This window comes from Homo sapiens, chromosome 4 (assembly GCF_000001405.40).
Source record: "Homo sapiens chromosome 4, GRCh38.p14 Primary Assembly".
Taxonomy (NCBI): Eukaryota; Metazoa; Chordata; class Mammalia; order Primates; family Hominidae; genus Homo; species Homo sapiens.
Window position 1 is genome coordinate 135,864,551 of NC_000004.12, and position 16,597 is coordinate 135,881,147.

At 32.2% G+C, this 16,597-nt stretch overlaps 1 long non-coding RNA gene across 2 annotated transcripts in view; it reads right to left on the reverse strand.

The window, feature by feature from the left end:
• Positions 1–2,432: 2,432 nt before the first annotated feature.
• Positions 2,433–16,597, reverse strand: part of LINC00613 (long intergenic non-protein coding RNA 613) — a 46,698-nt gene continuing 32,533 nt past the window's right edge. For both annotated transcript variants that reach the window (NR_103763.1, NR_103762.1), the window contains 2 exons: positions 3,286–3,356; positions 2,433–2,632 (listed from right to left, as the gene is read on the reverse strand). This is a non-coding gene — a long non-coding RNA (long intergenic non-protein coding RNA 613). The remainder of the gene's footprint in view (positions 2,633–3,285; positions 3,357–16,597) is intronic.

A 16,597-nucleotide genomic window follows, 5' to 3' on the forward strand; every position in this document is an offset into this window, starting at 1 on the left:
GTCCGTTTATAGGCTCTCCACGTGGGTCGCGTTCCATTCCCAGAGCTATGAACATCTGCTTTTCTGGGATAGGAATCTTGGTGATGTGAAACCTCCCTGACTGCACGTCCATTCATAGGGTCTCTGCAGGGGGAAGCACATCACACACTGTGGGCTCGTTCTGGCAGTCCAACCTGGCATTGTCTTTACACAGTCCTGCATGCAATTTTGTATTTACAATAATCAGGAGCATTTTATCTTTTATTCTATAGCGATAGTTTCAGGGGGTCTCCCTACAGAGAGCAAAATAAATTTTTGATAATATAGGAAGTTTAACTTAGGTAGTTCCTGGACTGATGGATTTATTTTCTCTATGGTTTTCACACTGAATATATAATTGCTTCCTCCATTTAAGCTAGGTTTCAATAAAGACACCTCTAATTTATAATGTACCTTTTAATTGACTTAGTTAACTCTGATTATATAACTGCAAATTGGCAGATGTAAAATTTATTTAAATGGTGTTTCTCAAATTTCAGAATAGAAGCATTTCTGTTTCCTTCAACCATACAATTTAAAATCAAGAAAACATGCAAATGTTAAATTGGGAGGTTGGAGTTTGCCAGTATATTTATTTGATTTTAACAAAAAATGTAGCTTTGCATATAAAGTGCATGCATTTCAATTCAATAATGACATAAGTAGGAATAACAGAGATGATTAAAAATGCTACCTCAATTCCATATTCTAAGTATATCTTTATACCTCCAATTGGCTCTATGCTTTTTTATATCCCATCATCTTTAGTGATAAATGACCATAAAATTTTCACACCATAAAGGAGTTTCAAAATTATAGTTTCAAGTGTTTTTTGCATAGCTTCAAAATATAAAAACCAGAAAATTGAATACAATTTTCCAAACTGGTATGGGTAATGGAAAAAGAAATCCCACCCTGATTTCATTAAGATTAAATGCTGTTTCCACCATACAATAAATTGTCTTTACAATTTGCCAACTAAGTAAAAAAAAATTCTATTATATTCTAATATTAAAGCCACCTCATATGCTACTGTCTTCACAGGGACAATAAAACAATGACATTCTATTTTGTGTTTCTGTTTACTGAAGATAATTGTGTTAAAACAATAGGTAATGATGGATATTTTAGAAGGATATATAAATCAAACACACAGAGAACTTAATGTGGAAGTATGTATGTTTACATGTACACACTTATCTACATATAGTCATTAAACACTTGGATTTGCAAGGACTACACAAATAAACATATGTGCCCTTGAAAAAATCATAAGAGGCTGTGAAATAAGCTTTTGTGTAAGAATTAAGTCTATATACTACACTAGTGCTTATTTAAGATCCATTAATGTGACATCTTAGTTGAAGATCATTTTGTTGTGGAAAGAGATTTCTATTGTGGTCAGAGCCCATGATAGAAGGAAAAAAAAAATACTCAATACTGCAGGGGTTTCAGTTCCTTCTCAAATTCTACCTTATAATGTTCATGATATATTCTTATCTTCATGCACTATGATGTATAGTGTTGCCATTAACTTATAAATTATATCGCCAGACATTTTGGAGAAAACTTAAATTTATTTTGAACTATTTCAAGAATATAAAATGAATAAAGAATACAAAAAATTCTGTCTCCACTATTAACAAATAAAGCTTAAAACAGAGTTGAATCATTCCTACATATTTTACTGATTGTATTCTTCTTCCACATAGAGATATTTACATTTCTGAATTTATATTTATCACCCCTTTACATTCTTTATATTTTACTTCATATGTATGCACTCTGAAACATTGTGACTAAACTAGAACTATGTATATGAATATAAATTAATTTTAAAAACATAATTTTTATGAAATATTAAAAGAAATAAGTTGGTGAAAAACTAAGTAGCATATATAACAACCATTACATGAAGTTTTATTCAGTTTTATGTCTACCTATAAACATTGTGTAATTCTCTATGTCTCTAGTAGTTTCTTCTACATATAGTTTGCTAAACAATACATAAGATTTTCTTAACAAATCTTGACCCCACCAACTTCCACTCACTAGTAGAGTCTTATCAACTTGATTCTATAACCGAGGGACCGTGATCAATCTACCTAATTACTATATTCATTATATCAGATCCCTTGGAAGCAACTAATACTTTCTTTCTGTCTCCTGACATCTGATATTGCCACATAACATCTAACAGCTTTATTTATCAAGAGATACCTTAGTTCTGAGGGTCTGTTTTTTTTTTTCAGTGTCATCATTCATATAAACCTTTCATTCTTTTTTTTTTGAACTGCTGATATTTTATCACTGTATCACTATCTGGCAGAAACCTAGAAGGTCTTTTAAAACTTCATACACATTACACTGATATAAAATATAGCATATAGAATAATAACTGCTCATCAATAGCATTTGACGTCAGGATCTATTTTAATTAAGACTCACATTTTCTGATACATGTGAAACAAACATACTTCTCTGTTAAATGGACTGCTTAATACTTTTACACAAAGATCTTCATAAAGTGTGAGAGACCATTTAAGTATAATAATAATCTGGGTTGCTGCCATTTTTCTTCCTCTTTTTATCACAAAAGGCAATCTGTGCAATCCTGTATTATAGAAGGACATAGAGCATAGAGAGAAAAAAAATTAAATTAATTACATATTCTAAGCAAGATTAGAAAGCAGTAATAACCCAAAGAGAAAGATAAAATACCACTGAATAGTGGAATTCTAAAAACCGTAAAGACATTTCACATTAGAATTAAATTACATAAAAAACAAAGTTACCCCTAGCCCTTATCAAAAGTTCCTGTGTCTTGTGAGAGCAGAAACAATCACATCAGACACATATATTGAGAAAATGTAATGAAGAGCAATGAAACTTAATTGAAGTGCTTTTGGCCATTAGGGTCAGGCCTTCAGTGGATTAGAGGCACATACTATTAGGCACTGCTCTTGCTATTTCCATTTAATGTCAGTTTAATGTAGGTGCACGCACTGGTCTTCTGCTCCAATTAAATTAGTCAAAGTTATATTTTGAAATGTTCCAATACAGAGTTAACCTTGGGGAAATATACTAATAATATTAGAAGATGATATATTTTAAGAAATATTTTACTAAAAGAAATAATTGCATTATATTAACAATCTGTTATTTCACTGGAATAAATTATATTGGCTTTCAACATGTCTACATTTAAATATTTCATCTGCCTTATTCATCCTGAAGTTACACACACACACACTCAACAAGTATCACCTGTTTGCACCTGTATAATGAAGGTTAGATCTTTTCTTCTTTTCTTCAAATATTTTTTTCTGTTCTTTGACCTGAAATAAGATTTATTCTCTTGTGAATTTATCTAGTCATTCCAGTTGTAGCAGTTGCCTATTTGAATAGATAGCTTGAGGTCAGAACTTCACACCAGGAGAGCCTCAGAGGACAATGTTTTCTTTCACTGTGTCTCTCCACTGGGACATGACTGTCACCCTCATAAGTAATAAATAAACAAATACCAGATATTGCTAAAATTGTGAATTGAGATATGTAAATAATCAAGTAGAGATTAAATAGCAGAACAAATGTGATGCATATAAATAAATATGTTATTGATTTTCTTCCAAATATAAAATTGACAAAAGTTATAAAATTAATAGGTGAAATAAAAAGTGGTGAATTATTGGCCTTCTTTCTAATATGTGATTGTAGAAAATCACATAGATATTTAATAATTCCTATTGTTTTCAAATAACTCTGGACATTTATTAACACTCTTATGTTTAAGACTCCCCACACACTCACATATAGAGCAATAGTGCTTTGCTATAAACTCTGAAAAGTTTGAGGTAACTTATGAAGAGCAAATTTCATGAGTTACCAAAAACAATGAAATAAGATGAAGGAATTGATGTTATTCTTCAGATGCCTTAGCCTTTACCCTTGCTGTTCATTTTTATCAAAATCCAGATGTCAAAAACTTTAGTACTTTGCAAGAGAAACTCATAGTTGAAGATGATCTTGACAGACTGTAACATGTGCATAATATGACTTGTTTATGGTTTAAAAGAATAAATATATAGACTTACTAATACAGGCTAATTGATATGACAAAACACATGAGAAAGCAAAGTCCCTGTGATTTAGAATTAATGAAAATACTATTGATGGATAGTTAGGTTGATTCCCTGTCTTTGGTATTATAAATAGTGCTGCAATGAACATGCAGGTGCATGTGTTCTAAAATAGAATAATTTATATTCTACTGGGTATATACCCAGTAACGGGATTGCTGGGTTGAATGCTATTTCTGTCTTTAGGTGTGTGAGGAATTGCCACACTCTATTGTGAGAGCTAAATGATGAGAGCACATGGATACATAGAGGGGAACAACATGCACTGGGGCGGTTCGGAAGGTGGAGGTGGGAGGATGGAGAGGATCAGGAAAAATAACTAATGGGTACTAGGCTTGATAACTGGGTGATTAAATAATCTGTACAACAAAATCATATGAGACAAATTTTCCTACATAACAAACCTGCACTTGTACCCTCAACTTAAAGTAAAAGTTAAAATAAATAAGAATAAAATACAAAAAACAATAATGAAAATAATATTGAGACTCCCTAGGAGCTCTAGTTACAGATACAGCACATACAACTCTGTATGTAATTTAAACAAAATAAGAATACAATCACAAAATTCACCACTTGACAAGGACTATTAGGTATAAAAAGACAAATATTAATTTTAATTAAGAACTAAATTTCTAGAAAGATACATTTATTATAGTTTAATATTTTATTTTCAAAGAAAGAATTATTATACTGAATGATAAACCTAAAGACACTGGAAATATTCACCCAAAAAGAAAATGTATAAAAGAGATAGTACAGATAATATTAGGCAACAATGAAATTTGAAAAATAGCATAACATAGGGAAAACAATAAATGCAGTTTGTTCTTTGAAAAAAAATAAGAGAGAAAAATCTCTGGCCAGACTGACAAGAAAAAAACAGGCTCACATAAAAATAATATTAGTAATGATAAAGCAAAGATAACTGCATTTAAAAATGAGAGTACTGTATTATAGTAATAACTTGAGGATTTTGATGAAATACCAGAATTCTTAGAAAAAATAGAACTTGCATCTGAATCACAAAACATCTGAATACCCCTATAAAATTGAAATAATTAAAATATTTCTTATGAAACTACAAGAAAAACACCAGGCCCAGTGATTGCCAACATAAAGGTCTATAAGGCATTCCTAGAGTATAACATTCTAATGATATCCAAATATTTTAAAGTAATATACAAAGGAATATCTTCTATCTCATTCAGTGAAGCCATATCACCTACGTACCAAAAGATGACAGGAATATTATCAGATAGGTATAGTGAATTTCTTCATCAACAAAGCTCCCAATATTTTCCATAAACTGTTAATGTCCAACTCTAGCAGTATATTAAATGGTAATTCAACATGAAAAGTTGATTTATCCTGGGAACTGGCAACGGGAGGTGAACAAGCAAAATATATTAAAAAAACTATTCAGTACATTAACGGAGTGAAGACAATAAAGAGAATACAAGATAGATGGATTCAGAATAAGTATTCTTCAAGTCTGACATGTCTTCATAATATAAAAACCATCTTAAAAAACTAGAAAACAAAGATAATTTCTTTGTCATGCTAAGGATTACCTGCAAATATCTTATTGCATATCATCAATCAATGAGGAAATGTTGGGAAAATTCTTTTAAAATAAGGAATAACACAGGGATCTCTGCAATCAAAGCTTACCTTTCACATTGTCCTGATAATTCTAATAAGCACACTAAAACATACAAAATAAATTAATTCTATAAAGATTGAAAAAAGTAATAAAAACACATTATTTCCCAAGATATCATGATGGGCTGTCATAGAGAAGTCCCCCCCCAAAAAAATTTGCAGGTGCATTATTAGGAAAAATTGACAAGGTATATAGCTATAAAATTCATAAAAAGAAAATAAATTGTGCTTCTATACATGTACTTTCCATCTGTTTCTCAACAGCCAATGTTGTGTGTAGCATATAAAAATTACCTTGTCTATCAAAGATAACTTTTGCCATCTTTATAAGTCTTGCTGTTATATGTCATTGGCCTAACGAACTATATTTTTTTAGATTTTACTAATTGCATCTCACAAAGGGTATTTTGTTTACTTATTTTTAATGATTCCACTTTAAAATTTCATGTGTATTGTAAAAGAATAACTGAAGAGCAGAAGTAAATTTTTGTTATGTTTAGAAACATAAAACATCTTATTAATCATGCTTTAGAAATAACCTATTTATTATTAATGTGTTTATTTTGATTTTATCCCAAATCCTTTCATCCTTCTTTTGGCTTGACAAGGATTTAGCCTTGTCATTTACAGTTGGGACAGTTTAGTTTTGAGAATATGCACATTTCACACAAGTCTGAGCTGAAGGAAAATATCCTCAAGCACTTCTGAGAATAAATATTTTGCGTGGTAGATAAATGCATTGTCCAATGGTGTTCATACTCTCTAGTCAGTTTTCAGATACATACGTGTGATAGGAAGTTACACATAAAGCAACAAGCTATCTCAGAGGGTTAACACATCATTACAATGGGCATTCTACAACACACAATATATGAACGTAACCCTGAGATGAGCAAAAAATATAAAGAGTCCATGGCTCAGTAGTTTCTGGGGCATACTGCAGCCTTTACTGAGTAAGGTGTACAGTTCCTACCTGCAGGACTTTGGGAACATATAGATATGCATGCTATCTTTGGCTGTAGGATGATAGTACTTAGCATAAATTAAGATAATATTAAAGCCATGTAGTGAGCCAACAGAACACATACAGGAAGGCTGCCAAATATGGAGTCAATAATAAGATAAGAGGATGTGTGCAGTAGCTCATGCCTGTAATCCCAGCACTTTGGGAGGGCAAGGTGGGTGGATCGCCTGAGGTCAGGAGTTCCAGACCAGCCTGGCCAACATGGTGAAACCCCGTCTCTACTAAAAATAGAAAAATTAGCCAGGCGTGGTGGCATGCACCTGTAATCCCTGCTACTTAGGAGGCTGAAACAGGAGAATCACTTGAACCCAGGAGGCAGAAGTTGCAGTGAGCCGAGATGGCACCACTGCACTCTAGCTGGGGCAACAGAGCAAGACTCCATCTCAATAAATGAATAGATCAATAAATCAATCAATAAATAAAACAAGATATGAGGCACAGTTCTGAGACATACTGGTATTGTGCATTTTATTCACAAGAAGGAATGAATGCAAGTCAAATTCATTTAAAAGAATAGATTCATCACTTCAGCCACATCATTTTCTAGGTTCAACTGAACCTAGAAATAAAAGTAGAAGAGTTATTAGGATTTTTTACTCAGTTGGAATTAGATAATCAGAAATGAATTAGTATCGAATGTAAAAAGTTGAGACCAAATATAAATTGCTTCAGTCATTATCTAAACTAGGGAAAATACATATTTTATAAGACCTACTGGTGAGGTTTGTGTTACTCAGGCTATGGAAAGAAAGGGAATAGAGAGGCCAGACTAATGACATAGGTTCTTTTCATATTATTTTAAAAACAATCCCATTTGATATTAGTTTATAGATAGCTATCAGCTCCATCCACTAAAGATGTTTGTAAGAAATAAAAGTAAAATAATAATATCATGAACTCAGAAAAAATAGAGCAGAAGTAGATACATCCTTATCATACAACCATTGAATATTAAATGTACTTCTTTTAAAACTTCCTATATGGAATGATTTTTGATATTGTACCTATTTCCTATTAGTCTACACTATTAGCTTTTTACATAAAGGGGCTGTTAGAAAACAATTAAGCGTAGAAACAAAGATCAATTTATAATAAGATTTTGAAACTACCCAAAGACCTTTTATTATTTTATTTTATTTTATTTATTTTTTGAGACAGAGCCTTGCTCTGTCACCCAGGCTGGAGTGCAGTGGCATGATCTTGGCTCACTGCAGCCTCCACCTCATGGGTTCAAGCGATTCTCCTGCCTCAGCCTCCTAAGACCTTTTATTTTTAACAATGTAGAATGAATAGAAGAGAGGGGCTGCTGTTTTAAATGCCATAAATCAGTTTGGGGATTTTATAATGTCTGTGGGAAATGAATTCAATTTAAAGTACTAACATGATCATGGTGGATAAGCTTTTTGATGTGCTGCTGGATTCGGTTTGCCAGTATTTTATTGAGGATTTTTGCATCGATGTTCATCAGGGATATTGGTCTAAAATTCTCTTTTTTTGTTGTGTCTCTGACAGGCTTTGGTATCAGGATGATGCTGGCCTCATAAAATGAGTTAAGGAGGATTCCCTCTTTTTCTGTTGATTGGAATAGTTTCAGAAGGAATGGTACCAGCTCCTGCTTGTACCTCTGGTAGAATTCAGCTGTGAATCCGTCTGGTCCTGGACTTATTTTGATTGGTAAGTAAATAATTATTGCCTCAATTTCAGAGCCTGTTATTGGTCTATTAAGAGATTCAACTTCTTCCAGGTTTAGTCTTGGGAGGGTGTATGTGTTGAAGAATTTATCCATTTCTTCTAGATTTTCTAGTTTATTTGCGTAGAGGTGTTTATAGTATTCTCTGATGGTAGTTTATATTTCTGTGGGATCGGTGGTGATATCCCCTTTATCATTTTTTATTGCATCTATTTGATTCTTCTCTCTTTTCTTCTTTATTAGTCTTGCTAGCGGTCTATCAATTTTGTTGATCTTTTCAAAAAACCAGCTCCTGGATTCGTTGATTTTTTCGAAGGGTTTTTTTGTGTCTCTATCTCCTTCAGTTCTGCTCTGATCTTAGTTATTTCTTGCCTTCTGCTAGCTCTTGAATGTGTTCACTTTTGCTTCTCTAGTTCTTCTAATTGTGATGTTAGGTTGCCAATTTTAGATCTTTCCTGCTTTTTCTTGTGGGCATTTAGTGCTGTAAATTTCCCTATACACACAGTTTTAAATGTGTCTCAGAGATTCTGGTATGTTGTGTCTTTGTTCTCATTGGTTTCAAAGAACATCTTTATTTCTGCCTTCATTTTGTTATGTACCCAGTAGTCATTCAGGAGCAGGTTGTTTAGTTTCCATGTAGTTGAGCTGGGATGCAAGGCTGGTTCAACATATGCAAATCAATAAATGTAATCCAGCATATAAACAGAACCAAAGACAAAAACCACATGATTATCTCAATAGATGCAGAAAAGACCTTAACGGGTGAAGCACACCAACATGGCCCATATATACCTATGTAACAAACCTACACATTGTGTACATGTACCCTAGAACTTAAAGTATAATGAAGTATATAAAGTATAATAAAAATATATATAAAATAAAAATAAATAAATAAATAAATGCAGCTTTGTTAGCAATGACAAAAAAATAAAGTACTAACATGTAGAAAAAATTATTTCAAGTCCTCTTATATTTGAAATGAGTAACAGTGTTTATAAACTGTCACTATTTACTATATTTTTATGTTTTTTTGTGTTCACAAATAATTAAAATTCAAGAGCTTGACATTCATAAAAATATAAATATTTACCATTTAGACCAGTCAATCTCTGTAATAAAACTAGTCAACCAGAGTTCATATTTATTTCTATTGAATGGAAACTAAAAACAGCAATAGAAATAGAAAAATATATCCTTTTTGATAAAGAGCTTAAAACTTTAATCTCATCAAGAAAATTTCTTAAACTGATTAGTGAAATAAGGTTTTCTGTTCAGTAATAAATTCTCCTTTCAACTCATAGAAGAAAGTTAAATAATTCACCTGAATAAAGAAAGCACTTCTAAGTTCAAAAAGTGTGCTTCATAATAGCTTTCTTTAACTAAAGCGTTGTTCCTTCTAAAAGGGAGAAATATCTGTGATGCATTTTTCTTTCTCAGAGACTTATACTACATTTTTATTGACAAGAGCATACCGATTTTTCTAAGTATATTTTTTCATTTACCCAAAGGGAATGAATCTATTGTTCTACATTATTCATATTATCAATAACATGTAAATACCATGTTATTTTATTAATCAAGTATGCTTACCTGTGATTCATCTGTTTATTCATTAATTTCATTAAATTACCTATAATTTCCTTGTTGTTAGAGACCTACTTTTTTACTTATGTTTTTTTCTTGTACTGATTTCAATTTGAGAAGATATAAATATGAAGTTGATTGTTTTAAATATATAAATAGGAAATGTATACATACATAGGTAGATATAAATATGGGGGATGGCAAATCATCCTCCCATATAAACCATGCTATTGTAGTGTGTGTCTTGACTTCCTGTATTGTTGAAAAAATATCTCAAATGACATTTAATTATTACTTTCTACACTTTTTTAAACATATTATTTTGTCATTTTTTGATCTTTTAAAAATATTTTGACTGGACATAGTGGGTCACACCTGTATTCCTAACAATTTGACTGGCTAAGGCAAGTGGATCCCTTGAGCCACAGGAATTCGAGACCAACCTGGGCAACATGGCAAAACCTTGCCTCAAGAAAATATACAAATATACAGAAACATGTGCACTCCTTTGGTTCTAGCTACTTTGGAGGCTTAGGTAGGAGGATTGCCTGAGCCCAAGAGGTCGAGGCTGCAGTGAGCTGTGATCAGGCCACTGCACTTCAGCCTGGGCAACAGAGACAGACCCTGTCTCCAAAAACAAAACAAAACAAAACAAAACAAAACAAAACAAAACAAAAAACAAAAAAAACTGCATATATGTACAAATATATATATATATTCTTAACACACAGTCTTCTTAAAAATGGGTTTTCAAATATATGCTTATAATTTAAAATGCATTTGTCCTGTAAATAATATAACCCAAAGTATACTATATAATGAATGCAGACATCAATTATAAATTAACCAGATTTATTTTTTTCATGCTCAACAACTCCACATTCATTCATCCTATAAACCATTTATGCAAAAATATATAATATATATTGAATGCAGCTCTATACATTTTCCTAATTAGTGCATGTTTAATTTATCAGGTTTGAATACAAAGCCTCATGACTTTAATTTTTAAGTAAGTTAAACATGGTTTTTATATTTCCATTAACTTCAACATACAATGATACTATATTTAAAAGTTTATTGAATTTTGTAACAAAATCAATGAGTAATTCACATTTACTTAATTACTTTCTTCAGAAGCAGTAAACTCTTCATTAACTAAGGGGTTATGGTTTATGTAAAACACTATAGATTCATTTCAATTTTTATAAAATGTTAAATAGGTACACATAAAACTTTTACAGAATTTGAGCCACAGTCAATATTTGCTTCACCTAACTTTGTAATTCAGCTCTATGCTAGATAAATTATCTTGCTCAATAATACTCGAAATAAACTGCCATTACTAAAATCTGTTGAGAACCTACTGGCTTTAAGTATCTAATTCTTTACCTGTTGGGTCTATCTGAAAAAGCAATGTTCATATTGAGTTGAAAACATATTTATCAGACTCCTGATATGTACCTGGAATTATCTACCCTTGACACTGAAGAAAAGTTGCTGAATAAAAAAGACAAATTCTTGTCATATTAGAGACTAGATTTCGAGCAGGGAGAGAAACAAATACACATACACACTCATACAAATATGGCTCAAAAATACAGCAGCATTAATTCTAATAATGATAAGCACAATAATGCGATAGAGGGAGTGTAACAATAGGTGTTCTATATTCATGTGAGCAAAGGAAGATCTCAGATATGATGGCATTTGAACTAACACCTAAAGGATGAGAAGGAGTCAGGCATAGAAGGAAGGAAAGAAAGAGGAATATGGCAGAAAGAAAAATTAAGTGCACAAGTTCTAAAGCAGAAGCGAGTATGATGTATTTGAGAAACTGAAAGAAGACCAGAGTGGCTGGATCATGATGAGAGATAAGAGTTGAATTCAAAGAATTTGGAGAATACAAGCTACAATCAAACTAATCCATGTGTAAATACAATGTTAGAGACCAGCTTTTACAAATACATAGAAACATAAAGAAGTATGTTTCTCAGTAGAAACAAGGTCTCTTGTGTAGGATAAAGTTAAATGACTTGAACAGGCTAACATTACTAACAAATATACCCCTCAATGTGTAATGTTTCTAGACTATAAACTTATTCTCAATCAAGTATCCAGATCAAGGAATGTACAGGTTGGAGGAAGTGCTCAGTTCTATGTAGTAATTCAATAGCAAAATGTCAGTGACAATACAACTTCAATATGTCTCCTGGAAGAATTTCCTAGTCATCAACGTTCATGTGGCAGAGGGAAAGAGCATAGAAGACCATGGGTGGAAAGTTGTTTTATGTGTCTAAAAGCTCATAGGTTACATTCATTTGCCTCTACTTGAATATAACTCAGTTGCATGGCCGCTCTCAACTGGAAGGAAGGCTGGGAAATACAATCTAGGGAGAAGTACAAATGATGTTTTAATAGACCCTGCCACCGTGCGGCAGTTCTAAATTTGAGATCATGTCATTCCTGTATTTATTAAAGGGACTTTGCTTCCTTATTGTTTGGGCAGTAGGCAGGACCTGTAATCTACTTCAGTAAATTATATGTAAGTTGTTTTTAGCTGATACTTATAGTTTATGATAGCTAATAAAACAACAGTATTTTAAGTAGTTCTTGTCTGACAGCTACATGAATACTATATATTTAGTGATTTAAGACAAAAAAAGAATTACAAGCCTGGTATAGAGAATGATTATTTTGTTCATACAGTATAACAAACAATATGTATCTCGAAATTTGAGTTAGCAAGAAGAAATATTCATACACTAAAATGCCTTCCCTGGAATTTTGATGAAAATCAGACTAACTGTGCATGTACAAAAGAAATATGTACTTAAAGCTTGACCTCTTCATGATCTTCAGCAACTACTTTGAACCACCTATGGTCTAAATTAAAGCGACCATCAACTCTAGAGAAATTTCTAATTATATTTGTGCATTGTCTGAATTTTAATGCATCTGAATGCACCTTCCATCAGCATTTCAGAGTCAGTGCTCTAGCCTGTCATCTGAGAAGACACTTTTCTATGTTGTTCGTCAGTCCCCATAAATATATTGATTTGGAGAAATTATCTGTGTTAAATGCTTTAGATGATATTTAATATAGCCACTCCTCTATGTGATTTTTTTGTCTGTCCTTGAAAGCCAAACCACACAGACATAAGCTCACTGAGCTTTACTTTAGCATTCAGCACTTGGTTGTTGTCTAAAGAAGTTAAACTATCCAGCCATTTGAAATCTGTGATTTCATTATCTGCATGAAGACTGCAGAAAAAAGTATCACTCTGTGCTCTTAAGACAGAGCCTCAGGTGAAGATTTAAGTTCATATTGCTTTTAGAAGAGGTATGCAAGGCACAATTCACATCCCCTAAGGAATCAATGTTCTTTCTCTTTCTGATGATGATAATCCCATAAGTGACCACATGGTACTGTTTCCTCTTGCTTGCTTTTAAAAAAATAAGCAAATAATTAGAAACTAATTTATGGCCTATGAATTTGTGGTCTTCATTTTCTTTGTTATATTTATCTCATACTTTTTTGAGACTAATGCTTTTTTTATTTCTATTATAACTTCCTTTGGCATTCTTACTATTATTTGTCTCAATGCTTTCTTAAAAAGATTAAGAGCTGCACAAATAAAAATGTTACAAACTCTAAGTTTTTCTGAGGCAATTGTTGAAGGTGGGAGTTCAACAGAATTGCTCAGGGCTCTCATCACTCCACATGTCTATCGGTACTATAGCCTGATTTTATGTTCCTCCAAAATGTATATGTCGAAACTCCAACCCCCAATGTGATGATGTTAGGAGATAGGGCCTTTGGGAGTTGACTAGAGGCCAAGAAAGTGAAGCCTTCATGAATGGGATTAACTCTATATAAAGGGATGTAGAGATCAGAGTTCTGCCCTTCTGCCATGTGAGGACACAGTCAAAAGATGGCCATCTATGAACCAGAAAGAGGGCAATACTGAATTTGCCAGTGCCTTGATCTTGGACTTCCCAGACTCCAGAACTGTGAGAAATATGTATCTGTTGTTTATAAATGACCCAGTTTATCTTATTTTGTTATAGCAACCTGAACTAACACAGTGGACAACAACACTTACTTGGATGGATACTTTATTATTGTTTCTATTCAAACTTATTTGAGGATTTACATGGCAAGTTGTATCTCCATATTGCTCTGCTCTATATGTATTAAAAGAACGCAAAACCATTTCCTGGAGTGGATGAGAGAGCTGTCTCTAATCATAATTTTACTGTTTCATGTCTGTGATGTCCTACCTTGTACTAATGTGCAAATACACATATATGACTGTTGTCCTTGGGTTTAAGCAAATCTAAAGATTTTTCAAACAAAAGAAAGAATAGACAAATTAAGAAAGTCTAGAAAGAACTTTCAATTGTAGAGCCAAAAAGGAGAACCAAAATTGTTTGAAGTAGGTTTCTTTCAGCATTGATGAAATGCAGACTCTTCTGAATTTCTCTTTCTTAAATCATGTCTCCTGTCAAACTCTTAGAGCCACTGAAGTCCTGAAAAAATTCTGGAACTACTGAGCACTCAGTATCTCAAATACCTGCTAAGAAAGCACAGGCTGGGTATTTATGCATCAGGAAGCTTGAAAAGGGGGCAAATTTAACAATATCCATATAGTGATTTACATTTTACAAGTTGTTTTTACATAGAATATCTCATTTGATTCAGGGAAAAAAGAAAACAATAAAAATGAATGAATGAACAAAGAAACATTATGAGATGAAGAAAGAAAAGCAGAATTAGTCTTTGGATTTTATATTAATAGTTGTGGAATTTGAATGTCAGAGAGGTTAAATAACTCCTCAGGATTCCATGGTTGAACAACACTATACTAGATCAGTCTATAGATAGATCGCCTCATTCAAGACCTGTGTATAGTTTTGTAATTAAGCTAATTACTTTTCCAGTTCCCCATGTCTGAACACACATGAAAGATTAAATCTAGCTAGACTTACCCTGATAATTTTAGTAAATAATAGTGTCAGAATTGCATTGCAGTTTTAATTTTAGGTCACATTAAAGAAGTCATTTGCTTAAAAGTCCCTATATTTTTACTGGAAGATTATAAACATTAATGTTTGGAAGAGTATAGTGCAAAGTTAACTTTCATCTTGGTTTTCAAAGTTGTATTATCTACTATTAGTATCTACTACTAGTATCTATGTTCCAGGTCTCTTTGCTTGATTTTATCTGTTTGCTTTTCTAGACCAGAAAACAAGAATTTTCATTTTAATATTAAGACAAACTTTTAAGTAATATGTCAAAAGAGAAAATACTCTGGTCTAATGTGCAAAAATAGTACTCTGCAGCAAATTGCTTTATTTTCATTTTTCATTACATAAAATAGGAAAAGTAGATTATGTGCTTGAGAAGGAAAGAAGACATTGGAATACTAATATTTGAATGAATAATTTCATCTTGAGGAATATTGCTAGGAAAAATATTAATAAATATTAATTTTCCAATTTTCCTAAAGATTTGTGTGCACGCAATTGTCAATTTGTGAATTACTTATAAATAGCTATAATTTCAAATATTCACTGATATAATTGTGTCTGGCTGCAGTAAACTTGCATATAGTACTCTGTGTATCCCTCATTCATCATGAAGCATGTCAAATGCAATGAACACTAGAGCATAGCTGGCTTGTGGAAACTTCTTTCCCTTTCTATGCTTCACTGCTTTCTGTCTTGACCCAAGAAAGAATACCAGCATTTTAACATCACAATTAAACTATCAAACAATACAAGTTATATCACTAATCAAGTTGAGGGAGAAAAAAGAAACTATTGTTATTTTGCTTTATAATCAAAACTGATATTTTTTAGGAAATTTATGAACCACTTTAGCAATATTCATTAAATTCCATAAAATAATTATTATGAAGTGTAGGAGGCCCCGATTTTAAGTAATATAAAAAGTTTGTATTTCTCAGCAAAACACTTTCACTAAGAGCAAGATCTAAGAATTAAAGATGAATAAGATATAGTTTTAAATTACATTCACTATACAACACTTAAGATGTCTACATCAGGTGAGAAACATTTGAATTTTCCCTTTTATGACATAAATGCTGTTGGGTAAATATAATTAAAAATAAAATTTACTCCCACCCTAGAAAACCTCTCTGCAAATGTAGAAGTAAAAGAAAACAACTTTTATAACTGAATAGGTATCAAAACAGAATGTGATGTTCATCACAGACAATCTGCTAAGGGAATGCAAAGACAGGAATAAATACTATTATTTTGCATAGTGAAGCAGATCTAATCCATTACATATGTGTTCTCAAGATAAACAATAACTAGTGCTCAAATAAGAGGCCCCGACAGCACCATTTAACACACAAAGGTCATTCTATAATCAACTGGTCATTGAAATGGCCATCTGTGTTTGTTAATAGGCTAATCCAAAATTAATAAATAAATCAACTTTTC